This window comes from Homo sapiens, chromosome 1, assembly GCF_000001405.40.
Source record: "Homo sapiens chromosome 1, GRCh38.p14 Primary Assembly".
Taxonomy (NCBI): Eukaryota; Metazoa; Chordata; class Mammalia; order Primates; family Hominidae; genus Homo; species Homo sapiens.
In genome coordinates this window covers 59485806-59504378 of record NC_000001.11, presented here as the reverse complement: position 1 = coordinate 59504378, position 18573 = coordinate 59485806, and the positions used below count along the sequence as shown (strand labels likewise).

General features: G+C 37.9%; 1 protein-coding gene and 1 long non-coding RNA gene across 59 annotated transcripts in view; one reads left to right on the top strand and one right to left on the bottom strand.

Annotated features, from left to right (window-relative positions):
• FGGY (FGGY carbohydrate kinase domain containing) overlaps positions 1-18573 on the bottom strand; it is a 466353-nt gene that overhangs the window by 258352 nt on the left and 189428 nt on the right. The window lies entirely within an intron of this gene.
• On the top strand, positions 3347-12516 carry LOC124904192 (uncharacterized). The gene is made up of 3 exons (XR_007066139.1): positions 3347-3426; positions 6455-6560; positions 12380-12516. It is a non-coding gene; the product is annotated as an uncharacterized LOC124904192 (long non-coding RNA).

Sequence of the window (18573 nt, the reverse complement as noted above, 5' to 3'; positions counted from 1 at the left end):
ACAACTTCTGAACTACTGGCTTCAAGTTGGGGTTCTCACAACCCTGTCTTTGGGTTTGATTAATTTGCTAGAGCAGCTCACATAACTCAGGGAAACACGTTTATTGGTTTATTATAAATACTATTACAAAGGATACAGATGAACAGATGCACATGGCAAGGTAAGGGGGAAGGGGCGCAGAGCTTCCATGCCTTCCCTGGGCACTCCACCCTCCAGGAACATCCATGTATTCAGCAATCAAAAAGCTCTCCAAACCCTGTACTCTTGGGTTTTTATGGAGGCTTTTTTACACAGGCATGATTGACAACCATGTAAAAATATGATTGGACAAAAAGCATATGATCTAAATCCAGCAAGGACTATCTGCTCAGACTTTTTTTGGCCTCTCTGTGTAGCATTCTTTCCACTAGGCTATGGGGCAGGACCCTCTCTGGAATGAGGGTCTTCTGATCCATAATCAAATTAGCATCCTACCTTGGGCAGGTGAAGAAGGACCAGAGGGGGTCACTGAGAGAGACTGTTGCCTGAGGCCTCAAGTGCCCCAATGTTATAATAAGGGCTATGGGAGTTAACCAGGAATCATGGGCAAAAACCTATATATATGCATTTGTGGTGTTATTATACATATTTTTTTCACCCATGATTCCTGCTAACTCTCATGTTCCTTATATTTAATTTAAAATTATATTTATTTTAATTGAATATAACATTTAATTATATCTATATCATGTATATATATTATATATATAATACATATTTTATATATATATATATATATATATATGGCGACACCACAAAAGCCAATGCGTATACCTAGAAAATAGGTGACCACCAGCAGGCCCAAGCATCTCATTACACATAGCAGATGCTACAGTGGCAAGATATTGTAGATACCACCTTTTTAGTGAAATAGAGGTTCTCAAATTCTCTTTGCCTGGTCAAGTCTGGTTCAAGAAGTCCAACAAGCAACTGGTAACTATTGTAGGTCAGTGTTCAGAGGAGTGCTGTACATAATTTGTATTTTAACACAATAAATATTATAATAGTAATAGTGCCCATTTATCAAAACCTATGAGCTTTTAGTCACTGCTCTTCTTACTTTTCAGTTGCTATCACCTTCATTGCTAACACCAAACCAATGGTATTAGAATTAGATTTTATAGTAATAGAATTAGATTCTCTACATGAAGAGTCTATGATATTGCAACCTATTATTCTACAGTTGTAGAAATACAAGCACAGAAAGATTACATAATTTGTTCAAAGTCACTATGTAATGGGACATGGTCAGGATTTTAGCCCAAGATTCTCTGACTCCATGGTATGGCGTCTTCCTACTATACCATGTAGGTTAGAGAGGGCAGGCATAGAATGTGATGAGTAGAAAAGGAAGACCACCTCATTTGCAGGAGGCTCCCCTGGTAGGTCCTGTCTAGGAACAAAACCACAAGAGTCATGAAATCCGAACATGCTGAATCTTTTAGCTTCTTCCAGTCCTCTCCTCTGATTCCTTCTCTGTTCCAAAAACAGAGACACGGGATTTTGAATGGCCCATACAGACCATCAACTTCAGTGTATACATTTTACAGTAGAGAAAACTGAACCCAGAGAAGGAGGTGGCTTCCCTGGAGTCAACCAGTTGTGGGAGCAGAGTCTAGATTGAATCCAGAGCTCCTGACTCAAGGAAGGCTTCTTCCACGTTGTCAGCACTCCCTGCTATGGCAGCACCATCCTGCATCTTCCCCCACCTGGAGTAGGAAGCTCATCTAAGCCAGGGCAATAAGTCACAAAGAGAACAAGGGAGTTGGCAAAAATTCAACAGATTCCAGGAGTGTGGGCGGCCAATTCTGAACTATTCAGAGCATAGTCTTTTTAGCTTGAAATCATCATCCACTTTGGCACCCACAGTGACCCAATTCTCTAGATAATTGCTGGTGCCCTATTTTGTTCTCACCTAGCCTAAGGCCACATGCAAAAAGCCTTCCCTGGGTAGATCATAATTAATCACTCTTTCCTCTACAATCCAACAGCATGTTTTTTGGAATTACATCATTCTGCTCTACATAATGGCTTTTTCCCTTGTGCTTCCCTCTTCTAATTTAGATTATAATCGCCTTGAGGGCAGAGCTCTTTTTGTAGATAATATATCCATAAGAGGCAGGTGGTTTAGCATAGCACTTGGGAGTTCAGGTTAGGGGGTGGACAGGCTTGGATGGTGGTGGCTTTATCACTCACAGGGCTTGTGACCTTGGGCAAGTGATTTAACTTCCCTGCAACGGTTTCCTCACCTGTAAAAAGGCTATAATAATGTTATTTTTCTCCCAGAGTGGTTATAAGAATCAAGCAAGATAATGCAAATAAGTGTTTTAGCATGTTGTCTGCCACATGACAAATGCTAGACAAAAGTCAGATAAAATTATGGTTATTATGACTCCCTATTCCCAGTGTATTGGACATCGCCTGACACACAGAGGGTACTCAGCTCATTCTGGCCGAGCTTACAAAGCTTGAGGAGAGATCCTTGATGTTACAGCATGTGGAGATATATGCTTTTGGGGTCATGAGAGCAAACTGCAGAACCTGTGAAAGCTGTTAAAAAATTCACAGTGGTGGAATTCAGTTTTCTAGCACAAAAAGTTTCTCCCTATGGTCATGTCTCCACGGCATGCCTTCAGAGGGAAATGCTTTAAAAGTGCAGAAGGTGTTCTCTTTAGAGTTATTTTAAGAACAAAACGCTTGTTTCAAAAGGAAAATTCATTATTTTGTCAGCAAAATACTTGACTGTTAAGATGTCCAATGCTTTCAAGACCCATGCAAACAGTTCTACCATGGAGAGTTACCCCACTTCTAGGAAAAGGAAAACTTGGGAAATACATGAAAATACTTTAGGTGTCATTGTGCTAAAAATATTACAAGGTTTAAAGCAGTGGTTTCTACAATTTTGCTTTTTTTTTTCACAATCAAATACAAAGATCACATAAAGAAAACTAGGGATTTATATAGGTTTCTCAATTTTTTATCCTGTCTCATTTACTAATTAAAACCAAATCTTACAATGAGGATTTATTTGACACAAAATTGTATCACTAAAAACATAGGAAGCAGAGGATCTCAAAATAAAGGATGTTCTTTTTTAAGGTAAATACACTTCCTTTTATGACCTCATGTATTTATTGCATCACACACCAGTGAACACTTTGTCAAGGGCCAGCGTTGGTTTCTCGTCTGGACTACTGTTTGCAAACTGCTGACTTACAAAATGGTAACAGCCTCCTAACAATGGGTGAATCTACAGGATGTCAAGCAGCAACTCTCAGGTGAACCACTCAGTCAGTGGATCTGGTGTTAACTATACAATGCCAAATGTCTTCTGGTGATCTGAAGACATCAGGGGCTTTTCTATCATGTAGACCAAACATGATTCAGGTAACTGACAAAATTTTTCACTTCCCAACCAGATGTCTTACTTGCATAGAAATGAAGCCCAACTTGTACTTTCATGTGCAAATAGGCTAGACATAAATTCACCCCTGGAGGGCAGGATTAATTGCTTATCCTCAACGAACGCTAAATTACATATTATTTCTTCTTCTATTTCCAACTATTTTACCTTTGAAGAAGGTTTTCTGCTATTGTTTTGAAAAGCACACATTTCATCTTAGAAATGGTCTGTCTTTTTACATGTTTCTTCCTTTTTTTTTTTTTTTTTTTTTTTGGCAAGAAGGCAGTGTGCTACAATGAAGAGTGTGATCTTAGAAGTCAGGATAATCTGAGTTCTAATTCCATGCACCTACTTTCCCAAACTTTAAGGGCCTTGCAAAAAAGGCACTTAAAATCCCTGAATTCAGTTTCTCTGCAGATATATATCATAAAAGCCATCTATAAGAGGCACTGTGAAGATTTGAGATCATTTATTCCTATAATATGTATTGGGTGCTTGCTCTGTGCCTGGTACTGAGAGACCATGGAGAACCACAGTGTCTGCCTGTCCTCCAGGGGCTCTGTCAGTAACAACACACTCATGCCTAACAAGCTGGAATGACAAACGTACCATAAAACTAAGGTGATATCTTTATTCAGGATTTTAAATAAAATTATGAGTAACTCCAACTGTTGCTGATCCTTAAAGATGAATATCAAGTTTATAAAAGGAAGGATATGTCTGAAACCTTTGCTCTTCCTTAAATCTACTTTCAAGCATACCCTGGAATTTGCTCTGATCATATTTGTTTAAAGAATTCACGTGGTTATCAATGAGCTTCCACCTTCTATGCCGTTGTCCTGACAACCAAGCATTTACTAGACAGAATATGGAAAACAGGTAACAATGTGTCTCTACAGTCAGGGTTGTAGGCAAAATTCGACAGTACAGAGACAATCAAATGACTAGGGTCTTTGTGTTTGAAATCCTTAAAGGGAAATACAAACATATATATGTATATATTTACACACACACACATACATATATATACATGAATAAAAGAGAGTAAAGATTTTACAGAGAAATTAACTGGGCAAGGAGAAGCTGCTATGCATGACTCACTTGTACTTTAATAGCAGCTATGTTTCAAGAGTCAGGTCACAGGTAATGTTGCACATAAGGAAGAAAGGCTAAGTCTGCTGTTACTGTTGTTCAGTTACACTAATAAGATGTTAGGTTCTTTTCCTAGCCTATGTTTCACCAAAGCCAGAAATATCTCAAACATATGAAGAAATGGAATACGACTATGTTCTTAAACTTTTTTTCCAGGACCAAAACTTTTTTTTTCCAAATGAAATCCTCTATAGCACTCTAGCACAGCAGTCTCCCCTTATCTGCAGTTTCGCTTTCCATGGTTTCAATTTCTCATGGTCAACTCTAGTACAAAAATATTAAATGGAAAATTCCAGAAATAAACAATTCATAAGTTTTAAATTGCACACCATTCTGAATAGTGTGATGAATTCTCACGTTATCTAGCTTGGTCCCACCTGGGATGTGAATCATCCCTTTGTCCAGCAAATCCATGCTGTAGGCACTACCTCCCTGTCGTCCGCTTAGTAATCCTCTCAGTTACCAGATCAAAAAAAAAAAAAAAACAAACATAGTATACATAGGGTTCAGTACTACCCATGTTTTTAGGCATCCACTGGGGGTCTTGGAAGGTATTTTCCATGGACAAGGGGGAACTACTATATATAATTATTCTCTGGTTCAAGCAGAGAAGAAAGTGTCCAGGGGTGATACATGCAACAGCTCTGGCACCAGAGGATCATCCAGATTTGGGGGGCTGAGAAATAGAGATCAAAATCTAAACATTAACCTATGGTGAGAGACTATCCATCTTGGAAGCATTAAAGAGGGGAGGGATGGTAATTTGGAACTGTAAAATAGAGCTCCTTGAAACTTCTACTACAGTGCAAAAGCAGAAGCAGCAGAAAGTGTCCACTTTTAACCACACAGACAATGACCTCACTCCTGAATGAAGGAGGACACTGGCATTTGCAGTCCCTCCGGGGGAGGAGTGGAATTTGCCAAGTTGGCATTTAGCCAAAATGATGGAGTAAAATCCCTGAAGCCCTCACTCATGTTGACGTGGAAATCGAGCAGAGAAAGATTCAAAACATGACATAACTTAATGACACTTAAAGTTCTATCTACGTCACCCAGTTGGTGGGGGAGGGGGATCATACACATATTGGGAAAAATGCTCAAGTGCTAGGATGGCAGCATGAACAGCATTTGGGAACTTGTTAGAAGTGTGCATTCTCAGTCCCCACCCTAGACCTACTGAAGCAGAAACTGTGGTGTGGAGCCCAGCCATCCTCCCTCACCAGGTGATTTTGACGCACACCAAGGTATGAAGAGCCCTGCATTAGAGTCACCTAGGGAGCTTCTGAAAATAGCAATTCCTGGGCCCCATTCTTGACTTCTGGTCAATGTTATAAAGTGGAACCCTAGGATTCTTATTTTTAAAAGCTCCCAGGTAATCCGGAGACATAAGCAGAAATAGGCACAGAATCCAAAGAAAATAAATGTTAACAATGAGAACATTTAAAGGCATTATGTATTGGATGTGTGAATTTTACAAGTACAATCTAAGATTAAACGATGGCCTCTCTTCTGAGTTGAATGACTTTGGGCAAGCTACTCGCCAGCCTACTTCTCCTCATTTGTAAAATACACATATTTTAGGGTTGTGAAAGTTGAATGATAATAAATTCTTGGTACAGTGTCTGGTACATAGTAAGCACTAAATAAATGAGGTCAATTTTTATTAATCTCCTAATAACAATAAAGAAAAGCTAACTCATGTAGAATCCTGTTATACCAAGTGGCACAGGTTGGGGTACAGGAGGGAGACCCTCCAGCATCTTTGAAGCTTTCTTACTCCCTTGTGTCCTGTTGTCCATGAGAATATGCTCTTTCAGGGAAATGTAACATCCTCTAATTATGCTGCCTGGCAAAAATCAGGTGCAAAAAAGGGCCTGGAAGACTGCGTACGGAAAAATGGGGCAGCAGTGTGAGAGTATTCTGAAACAACGCGAAGACAGAAATAGCAGCGCCGACAGAGTTGCAGGTACTAACAGGAAATCCACACTTCCAGGAAGGGTGAGCCAACTGACATGGGGAAGAATTGTTCATTCTCTCTGGCCTTCTGTGTGCAGAAAGGAGACAGGTGAGAGTCAGAAGAACAGACTGGCAACAGAGGATGGAGGCCTACGGCTGAACAGAAATGGGCAATTCTTGCTGAAATCCAGATGAGGAGAATTGCATTCTACTCTGGTTTTTTTTGTTTCTTTGTTTGTTTGAGACGGAGTCTGGCTCTGTCGCCCAGGCTGGAGTGTAGTGGCATGATCTCGGCTTACTGCAACCTCTGCCTCCTGGCTTCAAACTATTCTCCTGCCTCAGCCTCCTGAGTAGCTAGGATTACAGGTGCCTGCCACCACGCCTGGCTAATTTTTGTATTTTTTAGTAGAGATGGGGTTTTGCCATGTTGGCCAGGCTGGTCTCAAACTCCTGACCTCAGCTGATCTGCTGCCTCGGCCTCGCAAAGTGCTGGGATTATAGGCATGAGCCACCGTGTCCAGCCTCTGGCTGTTTTTTTAAGCAATTATTTCCACTAAGGTGAGAAACCAGCACACTTCAAGCACTTTTTTTCCTCTTCCTGCTGGAAATTTGTAAATCTATTTTCCAAGGATGATGATGTGGGATGTTTGGGTCTACATATCTGTGTTTTGGCAGTTCTTTCTCTATGAAATACCCTTCTCTATTCTTCACAAGGCTAACCTCTCTACTCCTTCTGGAAGCAATTCAGGGGTCACCTACTCCAGGAAGGCAATCCTGAATGCTTACCTGTTTCACACCCAGAGTTGTGGTAGTTAGGCCCCCCTCATTATTGCCATAACACCTAACATATAATTGTCATGTTGCCTTAAATCAGTGTTTCCCAGAGGAGTTTAAAAAGATGTTAAAAGGTATTATTTGAAAGAAGCTATTTGTGCAAATAAATTTAGGAAATGTAAAGTTGAACAAAGTACACAGGTTTCTGTGATGTAACAATTGGGACTTTAATATGCTGGTGTGCACTGAGAATCTCTAAGGAAATATCACATATGAATCCCCAACCTGATTTGATTGTAGACATTTTTTTAATCAATCTAGTAACCACATTTTATTTATTTATTTGTTCATCTATTTTATTTTTTTTTAACTTTTATTTTAGGCTCAGGGGTACATGTGCAGGCTTGTTACACAGGTAAACTGCGTGTCACATTAGTTTGGTGTGCAGATTATTTCATCACCCAGCTGATAAGCATAGCACTCTACAGGTAGTTTTTCGATCCTCACCCTCTTCCCAACCTCTACCCTTAAGTAGGCCCCAGTGTCTACTGTTCTCTCCTTTGTGTTCATATGTACTTGGTGTTTAGCTCCCACTTACCAGTGAGAATATGCAGTATGTGGTTTTCTGTTCCTGCATTAGTTTGCTTAGGATAATGGCCTCCAGCTCCATTCATGTTGCTGCAGAGGACAAAATCTTATTCTTTTTAATGGCTGTGTAGTATTCCAGGGTATACATGTGCCATATTTTCTTTATCCGGTCCACTGTTGATGGGCATCTAGGTTGATTTCATGTCTTTGCTATTTTGAATAGTGACACAAAAAATAAAAATATCTAGGAATACAGCTAACCAGAGAGGTGAAAGATCTCTACAACGAGAATTACAAAACACTGCTGAAAGAAATCAGAGATGACACAAATAAATGGAAAAACATTCCATGCTCATGGAAAGGAGGAATCAATATTATTAAAATGGCCATACTGCCCAAAGTAATTTACAGATTCAATGCTATTCCCATCAAACTGCCAATGACATTTTTCACAGAACTAGAAAAAACTATTCTAAAATTCATATGGAACCAAAAAAGAGCCCGAATAGACAAAGCAATCCTAAGCACAAAGAACAAAGCTGGAGGCACCACATTACCTGACTTCAAACTATATTCCAAGGCTACAGTAACTAAAACAGTATGACACTAGTACAATAACAGACACATAGATCCATGGAAAAGAATAGAGAGCACAGAAATAAAGCCACACACCTACAACAATCTGATCTTCAACAAAGTTGACACAAACAAGCAATAAGGAAAGACCCCTCCCCCCAATTCAATAAATGGTGCTGGGATAACTAGCCATATGCAGAAGATTGAAACTGGACCCCTTCCTTATACCACATATAAAAATCAATTCAAGATAGATTAAAGACTTAGATGTAAAACCTAAAACTATAAAAACCCTAGAAGAAAACCTAGGAAATACAATTAGGTATTATATACCTAATTGTATACCATATATAAAAATCATATATAAAATCAATACTCCATATATAAAAATCAATTCAAGATAGATTAAAGACTTAGATATAAAACCTAAAACTATAAAAACCCTAGAAGAAAACCTAGGAAATACCATTCTAGACATAGGCTCTGGCTAAGATTTCACGATGAAGATGTCAAAAGCAATTGCAACAAAAGCAAAAATTGACAAATGGGGCCTAATTAAACTAAAAAGCTTCCACACAGCAAAAGAAACTATCAATAGAGTAAACAGTCAACCTACAGAATAGGAGAAAATATTTGCAAACTATGCATCCAACAAAGGATTAATACCCAGAATATTTAAGGAATTTAAGCAAATTAACAAGCGAAAAATAACCCCATTAAAAAATGGGGAAATAACATGAACACTTTTCAAAAGAAGACATACAACCAACAAACATATGAAAAAGTGTTAATCATTAGAGAAATCAAAATCAAAATCACAATGAGATACCATCTCACATCAGTCAGAATGGCTATCATTAAAAAGTCAGAAGATAACAGATACTGGTGAGGTTGTGGAGAAAAGGGAATGCCTATACACTAGTGGTGTGAATGTAAATTCATTCAGCCATTGTGGAAAGCACTTTGGTGATTTCTCAAAGAACTTAGAGAACTTCTTTCTCAAAGAACCATTTTACCCAGCAATCCCATTAGTAGGTATATACCCAAAGGAATATAAATTGTTCTACTATAAAGAATTTTTGTTTCCTAAAAATCACCTCTAGTACCCCAAAGTGTACACTGTGGAATATGCTGCTATATTTTTCTGGCACTCTCTGCTCTTTCTTCCTCACCAGACCATAATTTCCTTGTGGGCAACAGTATTACATATTGCATTTCTGGTATCTACAACCTACCATCTGCTATACAGTAGATACAAAGTGAAAGCCAACAGAATGTTAAAAAGTAAAATCATCATTTCCCTTTGAAACCCCTCTAGTGGCTTTCTGTATACCTAGGAAAGCTTTGGCTGCTTTACTCCAAGGCTCACAAGGTTCTGCATTTTTTACACCTCTTACCCCATCACTTGTCCTTCCCCTTCCTCAGTACATTCTGCTAAACTGGTCTTTTCTATCTTCTCAAACATGCCAACCTTATTCCCAGCCCTGGGCCTCTGCTCCTGCTGTTGCTTCTGCCAGGAACACTCCTGCCCACATGTTCACACTGATTAGGCCATCTCCACATTGATGTCACAACTCTGAAGTCTCCTCCTTAGAGAAGCCTTCCCTACCCACATTTCAGCCAGCACTTTATTTCCATCATAACAATTAGCCACATTTGCATTTGTCTTGTTTATGTATATACTTGCTTACTGTCTGGTTTCTCCATCTCACATGGTAATGTGATGTAACCTTACTGTCTTGCTTACTGCTACCTTCAAGAGTGCTGGAATGAAAAAGGTGTTCTAATGCTGGCTAATGAAAGAATGAATCGAACTGATCTATGTATCACAGCAGATACAAACCCTGCCTTCCTCCCAGAACTGAATCAAACCCTAGGCTGCCAATGACTAGATCTGTGACCAGGGCAAGTGATTTAGCCCTAAAAAGGCTCATCTTAGCTGTAAACTAAGAAATAATAGATTTAATTTTAAGCAACACATTGAATACATTAATTAGTCTCTATCTCCCCCAAGAAGAGAATAAAATAAATGTAAAGTGGAATTATTTTTCATTGTTTTTAAAAATTTTTTAATTGTGGTAAAATATATGTAAGATAACATTTACTATCTTAACTGTTTTTATGCATACAATTCAGTTGTATTAAGTACATTCACACATCATGAAATCATTACAACCACCCATTTCTAGAACATTTTTCATCTTGCAAAACTGAAACTCTATATCCATTAAACACTAACTTCTCCTTTCCCCCTTCCCCCAAATCCCTGGTAACTATCATTCTACTTTCTATCTCTATGAATCTGACTACTCTATGTATCCCATATAAGAAGGATCATACAGTATTGGTCCTTTTGTGACTGCCTTATTTCATTTAACATAGTATCTTCAAGATTCATCCATGCTATAGTATGTGTCATAATTCCCTCCCTTTTTAATGCTGAATCATATTCTGTTATGTGTATATATCACATTTTATCAGTTCTGCCACTAATGAACACTTGGTTTGCTTCCACATTTTAGCTATTGTGAATGATGCTTTTATTAACGTGGGTGAACAAACATGTATTTGAGTCCTTGCTTTCCATTCTTTTGGGTATATGGCCAGAAATGAAATGCTGGATCATATGGTAATATTGTTTGTAACTTTTTGAGGAACTACCACCATGTTTTACAGCAGCCACACCATTTTACATTCCCACCAACACTGCACAAGGTTTCCAATTTCTCCACATCTTCACCAACACTTACTTTCTGTTTTGTGTGTGTGTGTGTGTGTGTGTGTGTGTGTGTGTTTTGTTTGGTAATAGTAGCCATCCTAATGAGTATGACATGGAAGAGGTATTTTTTTAAAATATACAAACCCATCAAGACAAAAATATGACAGAAAATAATAGCAGCAACAAAATCATGAAAGTTAAAAAGTAAAAAGATAAATGGTAACCAATTTAACAATTTGAAGCAACCTGAAGCCTTAATTGATTGTGACAAAAGCTAAAAAGTAACTCAATTTGCCTTATAGAACCCCAAAGTGCTTAGGAATTTGGTGGCAGATGATATCTCTAGAAGTGAGAGTAAAGAGGGACTGAAAATAGTAAAACTGGCTGAAAGCCTGTTTAATAAAAAGGCAGACTCAGTACTGACTTGACACTGGTGTGACCATCCCTTTTGTCAACTTGGCAAAAGACTCGAGGTTTATTACCTGGAAAGGAAAAACAGAAGGCATCTAGATAGTGGATACCAGGCAGCTGAAAGTAAAAAAGTTAAAGTGAAAAAGGAGGATTTAGTGAAAGTTTTCATAATATCTACTGGAGTCATCTAGTCTCTTTCCTATGCTAGCCCCTTGAACTCCAGCAGCCAGGCTTTATTTCTGCAATTAGATATTGAAAGATTGAAAGTTTTGCTCTGGGGATGTTAATTAAACTAATAGAAAAAAATCCAAAAATACTGGCAGAGGATTTCCCCTTCTAAACAAGCCATCCAGATCACCGTACAAGTACAAACCACTGTTGATAAGCCTTATGCATGTATAGAGTTCCCAGTCATCTTTTTAGTACCCCATTCTCAAGCATGAAACAGACAGCCAAGGATCACCTTATCATCTGAAGAGAGCCCCTAATATGAAAGACAGAAACCCAAATAAGCAAACAGATTAAAAAGTTAATGGAAATTTGGAGGAAATGAAGGAAACAGACTACTGAGAGAGATGTAAGCTCTCTTGATGGACGCATTATAGTGGGGTACCAGACAATAAGTACATAAATAAATGAACAATAGTTATTAACAAAATGATAGGAACAGAAGTGAAAGGTAATCTGATAACTGGCTCTCAAACAATTGAGACTTGAGATATTAGCTTTATCACCCTAAATATATTGTCATTTTCTTACAGAACTCCAGAGCCAGAAGGATGATATCTCAACAAATGACAGAGCCCAATTCATTGACTCCAATAAGAACGACACGCGTCTATTATAACTTTACAAGATGGAAAGTACATACAGAAAAATTTTGAAGTTTTAAGAGTTAAATCTTATAGTCCTATATGAAAGAATGGATCAGCAAATTCAAATATTCATATCTTATTGGGCTCTATTTCCTGTATTTTTCTCACATGCCACTCTTTTAAAATAGGTATCTATGTATGTGTCAACAACCTTTGAATAAGCCAGAGCAACTAGGCAAGAAAAAAAAAAAAGAACAGCTAAACTGGAAAGAAGGAAGTCAAATTATCCCTGTTTGTAGATGACATGGTCACATATATAGAGAAACCTAAACATTCTACCAAAAAAACTCTTAGAATTGATCAACAAATTCAGTAAATTTTCAGGATACAAAATTGACATGAAAAATCAGTAGCATTTTTATACATGAACAACAAACTAGATGAAAAACAAAGCAAGAAGGCAATCCCATTTACAATAGCTACAAAAATAATTAAATACAATAATGTAACCAAGGTAGTAAAGATCTCTACAAGGAAAACCACAAATGAGAGAAACTAAAGAGGATAAAAATAAATGGAAAGACATTCCATGCTCATGCATCAGAATAATTAATATTATTAAATGACCATACTACCCAAAGCAACCTACACACTCAACGTAATCCCTATCAAAATACCAATGACATTCTTCACAGAAATAGAAAAAAGCCTTAAAATTTGTATGGAACCACAAAAAACACAATGCCAAAGCAATATTAAGCAAAAAAGAAAGAAGAAAGAAAAAAAGAGAGAAAGAGAGAAAGGAAGGAAGGAAGGAAGGAAGGAAGGAGGGAAGGAGGGAAGGAAGGAAGGAAGGAAGGAAGGAAGGAAGGAAGGAAGGAAGGAAGGAAGGAAGGAAGGAAGGAAGGAAAGGAAAGGAAAGGAAAGGAAAGGAAAGGAAAGGAAAGGAAGCAAGCAAGCAAGCAAGCAGGCTGGAGGCATCACATTTTCAGACTTCAAAGTATATTACAAAGCTTTAGTAACCAAAACAGTAACAGCACAGTATTGGCAGAAAAACAGACACACAGACCAATGGAAAAGAACAGAGAACACAGACTTTAATCCACCTATCTACAGCCAACTGATTTTTGAAAAAAGCACCAACAGCATTCACTGGGCTTTGAAAGGACAGTCTTGTCAATAAATGGTGCTCAGAAAACTGGATATCTATGTGCAGAAGAATGAAGTTAGACTCCCAACTCTTACTCTATGCAAAAAACAACTCAAAATGGATCAAAGACCTAAACACAAGACCTGCAACTATAAAACTACTAGAAGAAAACATAGGGGAAATGCTTCAGGATATTGGCCAGGGAAAATATTTTATGAATAAGATCTAAAAAGCACAGGCAACAAAAGAAAAAATTTTTAAAAAGGGAATTATGTCAAACTAACAAGCTTCTGCACAGCAAAGGAAACAATCAACACAGTGAAAATTCAACCTATAGAATGGGAGAAAATACTTGCAAACTATTCATTGGTCAAGACATTAATATCCAGAATACACAGAGAATTCAACCATTGGTACAGGAAAAAAACAACCAACCTGATTTAAATATTGGCAAATGGTGACTCACGCCTGTAATCTCAGAGACTTAGGAGGCTGACACTGGAGGATTGCTTGAGGCCAGGAGTTTAAGACCTGCCTGGGCAATATAGCAAGACCCTGTCCAAAAAAATTTTTTTTAATTAGGTGGGTATGGTGGTGTGCATCTGTAGTCTCAGCTACTTGGGAAGCTGAGGTGGGAAGATCACTTGAGCCCAGGAGTTCAAGGCTGCAGTGAGCTATGACTGTGCCACTGCACTACAGTCTAGGCAACACAGTGAAATCCCGTCTCCTAAAAATAAATTTTTTAAAAAAGGCAAATGATCTGAACAGATATTTCTCAAAAGAAGACATATAAATGGACAACAAAAATATGAAAAAATGTTCAATATCACTAATCATCAGGGAAATGCAAATCAAAACCATAATGAGATATCATCTTATCCCAGTTAGGATAGTGATTATCAAAATAAGACAAAAAATTAACATGCTGGTGAAGATGCAGAGAAAAAGGACTCTTACACTATTGGTGGGAATGTAAACTAGAAGAGCCATTATGGGGAACAGTATGGAGGTTCCTCAAAAAACTACAAACAGAACTAATATATGATCCACTGATCCCACCACTGGGGCATTTATCCAAAGGAAACAAAATCAGTATACCAAAGACATATCTTTACTCCCATTTACTGCAGCACTGTTCACAATAGCCAAGATATGAATCAGCCTAGGTATCCAATAATAGATGAATGAACAAAGAAAATGTGATATACATACACAATGGAATACTATTCAGACATAAAAAAACAACAAAATCCTGTCATTTGTAGCAATATGGATGGAAATGGAGGACATTATATTAAGTGAAATACGCCAAGAACAGAAAGTTAAACACTGCATATTCTTGCCCACATGTTGAAGCTAAAAAATGTTGATCTCATAGAAGTAAAAAGTAGAGGATATTAGAGGCAGAGAATGGTAGAGGGAAGAGGGGAAGAGGGAGAGATTTATTAAAAAACACAAAATTACAGCTAGATGCGAGTAATAAGTTCTAGTATTCTATACCACTGTAGAATAACTATAGTTAACAATAATATATCCTTTCAAATACCTAGGAGGATATTGAATGTTTCTAGCACAAAGAAATGACAAATGTTTGAGATGATGGATATGCTAATTACACTGACCCGATCACTACACATTATATGTACTGTGACATCACTATGTACCCCCTAAATATGTATAAAACGTCAATTAAAAATAAAAAATTATTTTTTAAAAATAACCTCCAAATATTCTTAGCCTTTTAAGTATCTAGACAATTCACAAAAGAAGATATACATGAATAACATATAAGGAAAAAGCTCAACCTCACTAAGAGTTAATAAGATAGAAATTAAAACAGAAAGGACATGCTATTTTCCATTGCTTTATAATCTTATGGACTGTTGGAAATGCAATTTGGCAAAATCTTCCTGGAAAGAAACTTGACAATATACACCAAGAGCCTTAAAAATTTATACCTTTTGACTTGGTAAATCCATTACTGGAATCCATCCTAAGGAATAACATAAAATGCTGACAAGGTATGTATACAAATACAACAAAATAGAAGAAATCAGAAAAAATTTAAATGATACAAGAAAAGTGTTGTTTTAAAAATCGTTACACAGTAAATTAAAAGCTGTATATTTGAAGAGTTTTAACAACATGCATATAAAGTATTTCAATTGTGTAAAGTAATGATACATATATAGTATGAATATATCAATACAGTATAAATTTTATTATAGATACATATAATATATATAATATATACATAATACATATTTATATATAATATATACATAATACATATATATACACACACATATACACATACATCAAAAAGACAGAAAATATACAAAAAATTAGCCATCTCTTGGAGGTAAATGCTGGATGAAATACTTTTATGTATTTTCTAAGTTTTTTACACTTAATATGCATTAAGTATCACCTGAAATAAAAATCTATTTTAAAGAGTTTGTATTTTTTACTTAGTAATTCCATTTCTGCGAGTCTGTCAGATGCAGAAAATAAAAAGGTTCCCTGCAGTATTTTTGTGTATTTGTACCATAATATTTACATACTAGAGAAAAAAAGGTAAACATTTAAGTGTCCAACCTTAATAGAAGGCTTAAAAATATCATTACAGCATTCAATAAAATATTATGGCATTATTAAAATTATGCTTCTAAAGAATATCATGAAAATATGAATATGCAATAATGTCACCTTAAAACTGCAGACTACACACTGGCATATACGGCATGGTTTCAACTGCGTTAAAATGGCACAAAAAAAGGCAAAGTGAACTAAAATTGTTTTGGGGTACTGTATCAGAGTGCTGAAATTGTTTTTCTGCTTCATTCACTTTCTGGCTTTTCTTTAGTTGTTTTTACTTTTAGATGCTTTTGAAGATAAAAGAAAAAATTAAAACAAAGATGATGCTTTTAGGATTGTGAAAGAGCCTCAGTTAGTTGGGCTGAGGAGGAGCCTTGGGGCAAGGGGGAGGGGGTGGGAGTGGGAGCGGTGAGAAGAGCATTTAGAGGTAGGGGAGCTTAAGGAGGTGATGAGTTAAGGTGGTCCAAAGCTCCTCAGGCCCCCAAAGAGATCAAGTATTTCTGGATAATCATCAGTTTCAGGGGTTTCTGTATCAGAGAAGCACCAGCCCAGGCAGGTTTTAGCTCCACCCTAAGCTTAACTGAGTGCCTCAGCAACTACAGATCTTAATGCTGAGTAACTGAGAAAGAAGTTGGGTGGATCTTCCTGAAGGCGGGTGAGAAGAAAGCCACAACAATGTCTAGGACAGAACTGCTTGGAAAGACTGTGTGCCAGGTACCATGCAGGTGCTGGGCCACAGCAGGTAATGAGATGGACATGGCCCCTGCCCTCATGGAATGTATAATCTGGCAGGCACATTTAACCCATAATTACAATCCATGAAAAATTCAAATGTGATAAGTGTTATAATAGGAAGTGAAGATCTGTAGTTTGCAGAGATAGACACACACAGTCAACTGTACATAGGCTTCAGGAAGCAAATGAAGGAGATGCAGAGAGAAATTAAACAATATAAATAATGCAAGTGATTTATTTCACCATCCTACACAGGGAGCTCAACCCGAGAATGGAGTGTAAATCAGCTCTTCCCTGGGTTGGCTTCGGTTTCTATTTTCTTTTAGTGTGAATATCTCCTTTTGCTACATCTGACCCTAATACCTCCACTATGTACAGTTCTATATACACTGAAAAACCTCAGGGGTGTGTCACTCCCATCATGGTCTATGTACATGAGACTCCTTGGAGTGTATAACCTATAGCTTGGCTACATGTAACCTAGATTTTTTTCATACAACCTAGACTTTAAAATAGGACAGCTATCTCGAACAGGGAAAAAAGAAATACCGGAATTAATGTGTTAGACTTACTGGAGATAGCTTATCAGTTTCCACTGTGGAGATAGCTCCCTCAGGGATTTTCAAGGATTCTCTTGGCTGATTCACTGCTCACAGTATGCACTGACTTTGGAACCATATCCTCCATTTTGATGGGATTTCACCACACAGTAGAGCAAGTAAGTGGGATGTGGTCTACTTAGGAGAGACTCCATATAGGTCATGTCATTTTTTTCTGAGACCAGGAGGATAAGAAGGTAGCTAGGATGAAAGGCTGGGAAAGCATCCCAAGCTGACAGGTAGGTAGCTGTGTGTAGGACCCAAGACAGGGGAGCACAGACGGTGTTCCAGGAACTAGCCCTGTTAGCCCTGGGGCAGAGAAAGCCAGAAGGGGGAAGAGCCTAACTTCCCATCACCTCCCCAAATCTTACCAACTACAAGACTCCTTCAATTACTGGCACAACCAACATGAACCAAAGCACTCACCATGTGTCCCTGAATCCTTTAGATGCCAAAGCTCCCCTCCTCTTTTGATTCAAAACATTTATTTCTGCCTGCTCACAGGGCACTTAACATGCATTGCCACTTGGTTCCAGGGATGTTCACTGGTTGCTAGCCACATATCAAGCACCAAGAACCCTCCTGGATGTAGTGACATTGTGGTTCTGCATTTCCCTTGCTGTTCCTTGGCTCTTCTTAAGTGTTCAGGCCTTGTCTCCTTGACCAACGCATGGTCTCCCTCTGGGTGCGCTGTCATTCACACATCTGTGTGTCTGGCACAGTGCCAGGCTCAGAATGGATACTAAACAATGGTGAGGTATTGTCCCATGCCTCTTATTAGTGTTAAGTCTGAGGCACAGGGGCTCTAAGTGATGTGCCAGAGGCCAACTAACATAATTAGCAACAAGTCTAGGAGACAGGTATCCTACATAGGGAAAAGTTGGAGTTTAGGTCCAGTTTTACTTGTTTTTAGAATGTTGTCAAGTCACTTCATCACAGTGATTTACAGAAAGTTTAAGAGATAGACTGAAGATTTTAACTCCTGGCTTGGCTGTATGATCTTGGGCAAGTTATTTAACCTCTCTGTGACTGACCATCTGTAAAATGGGGGTAAGTCT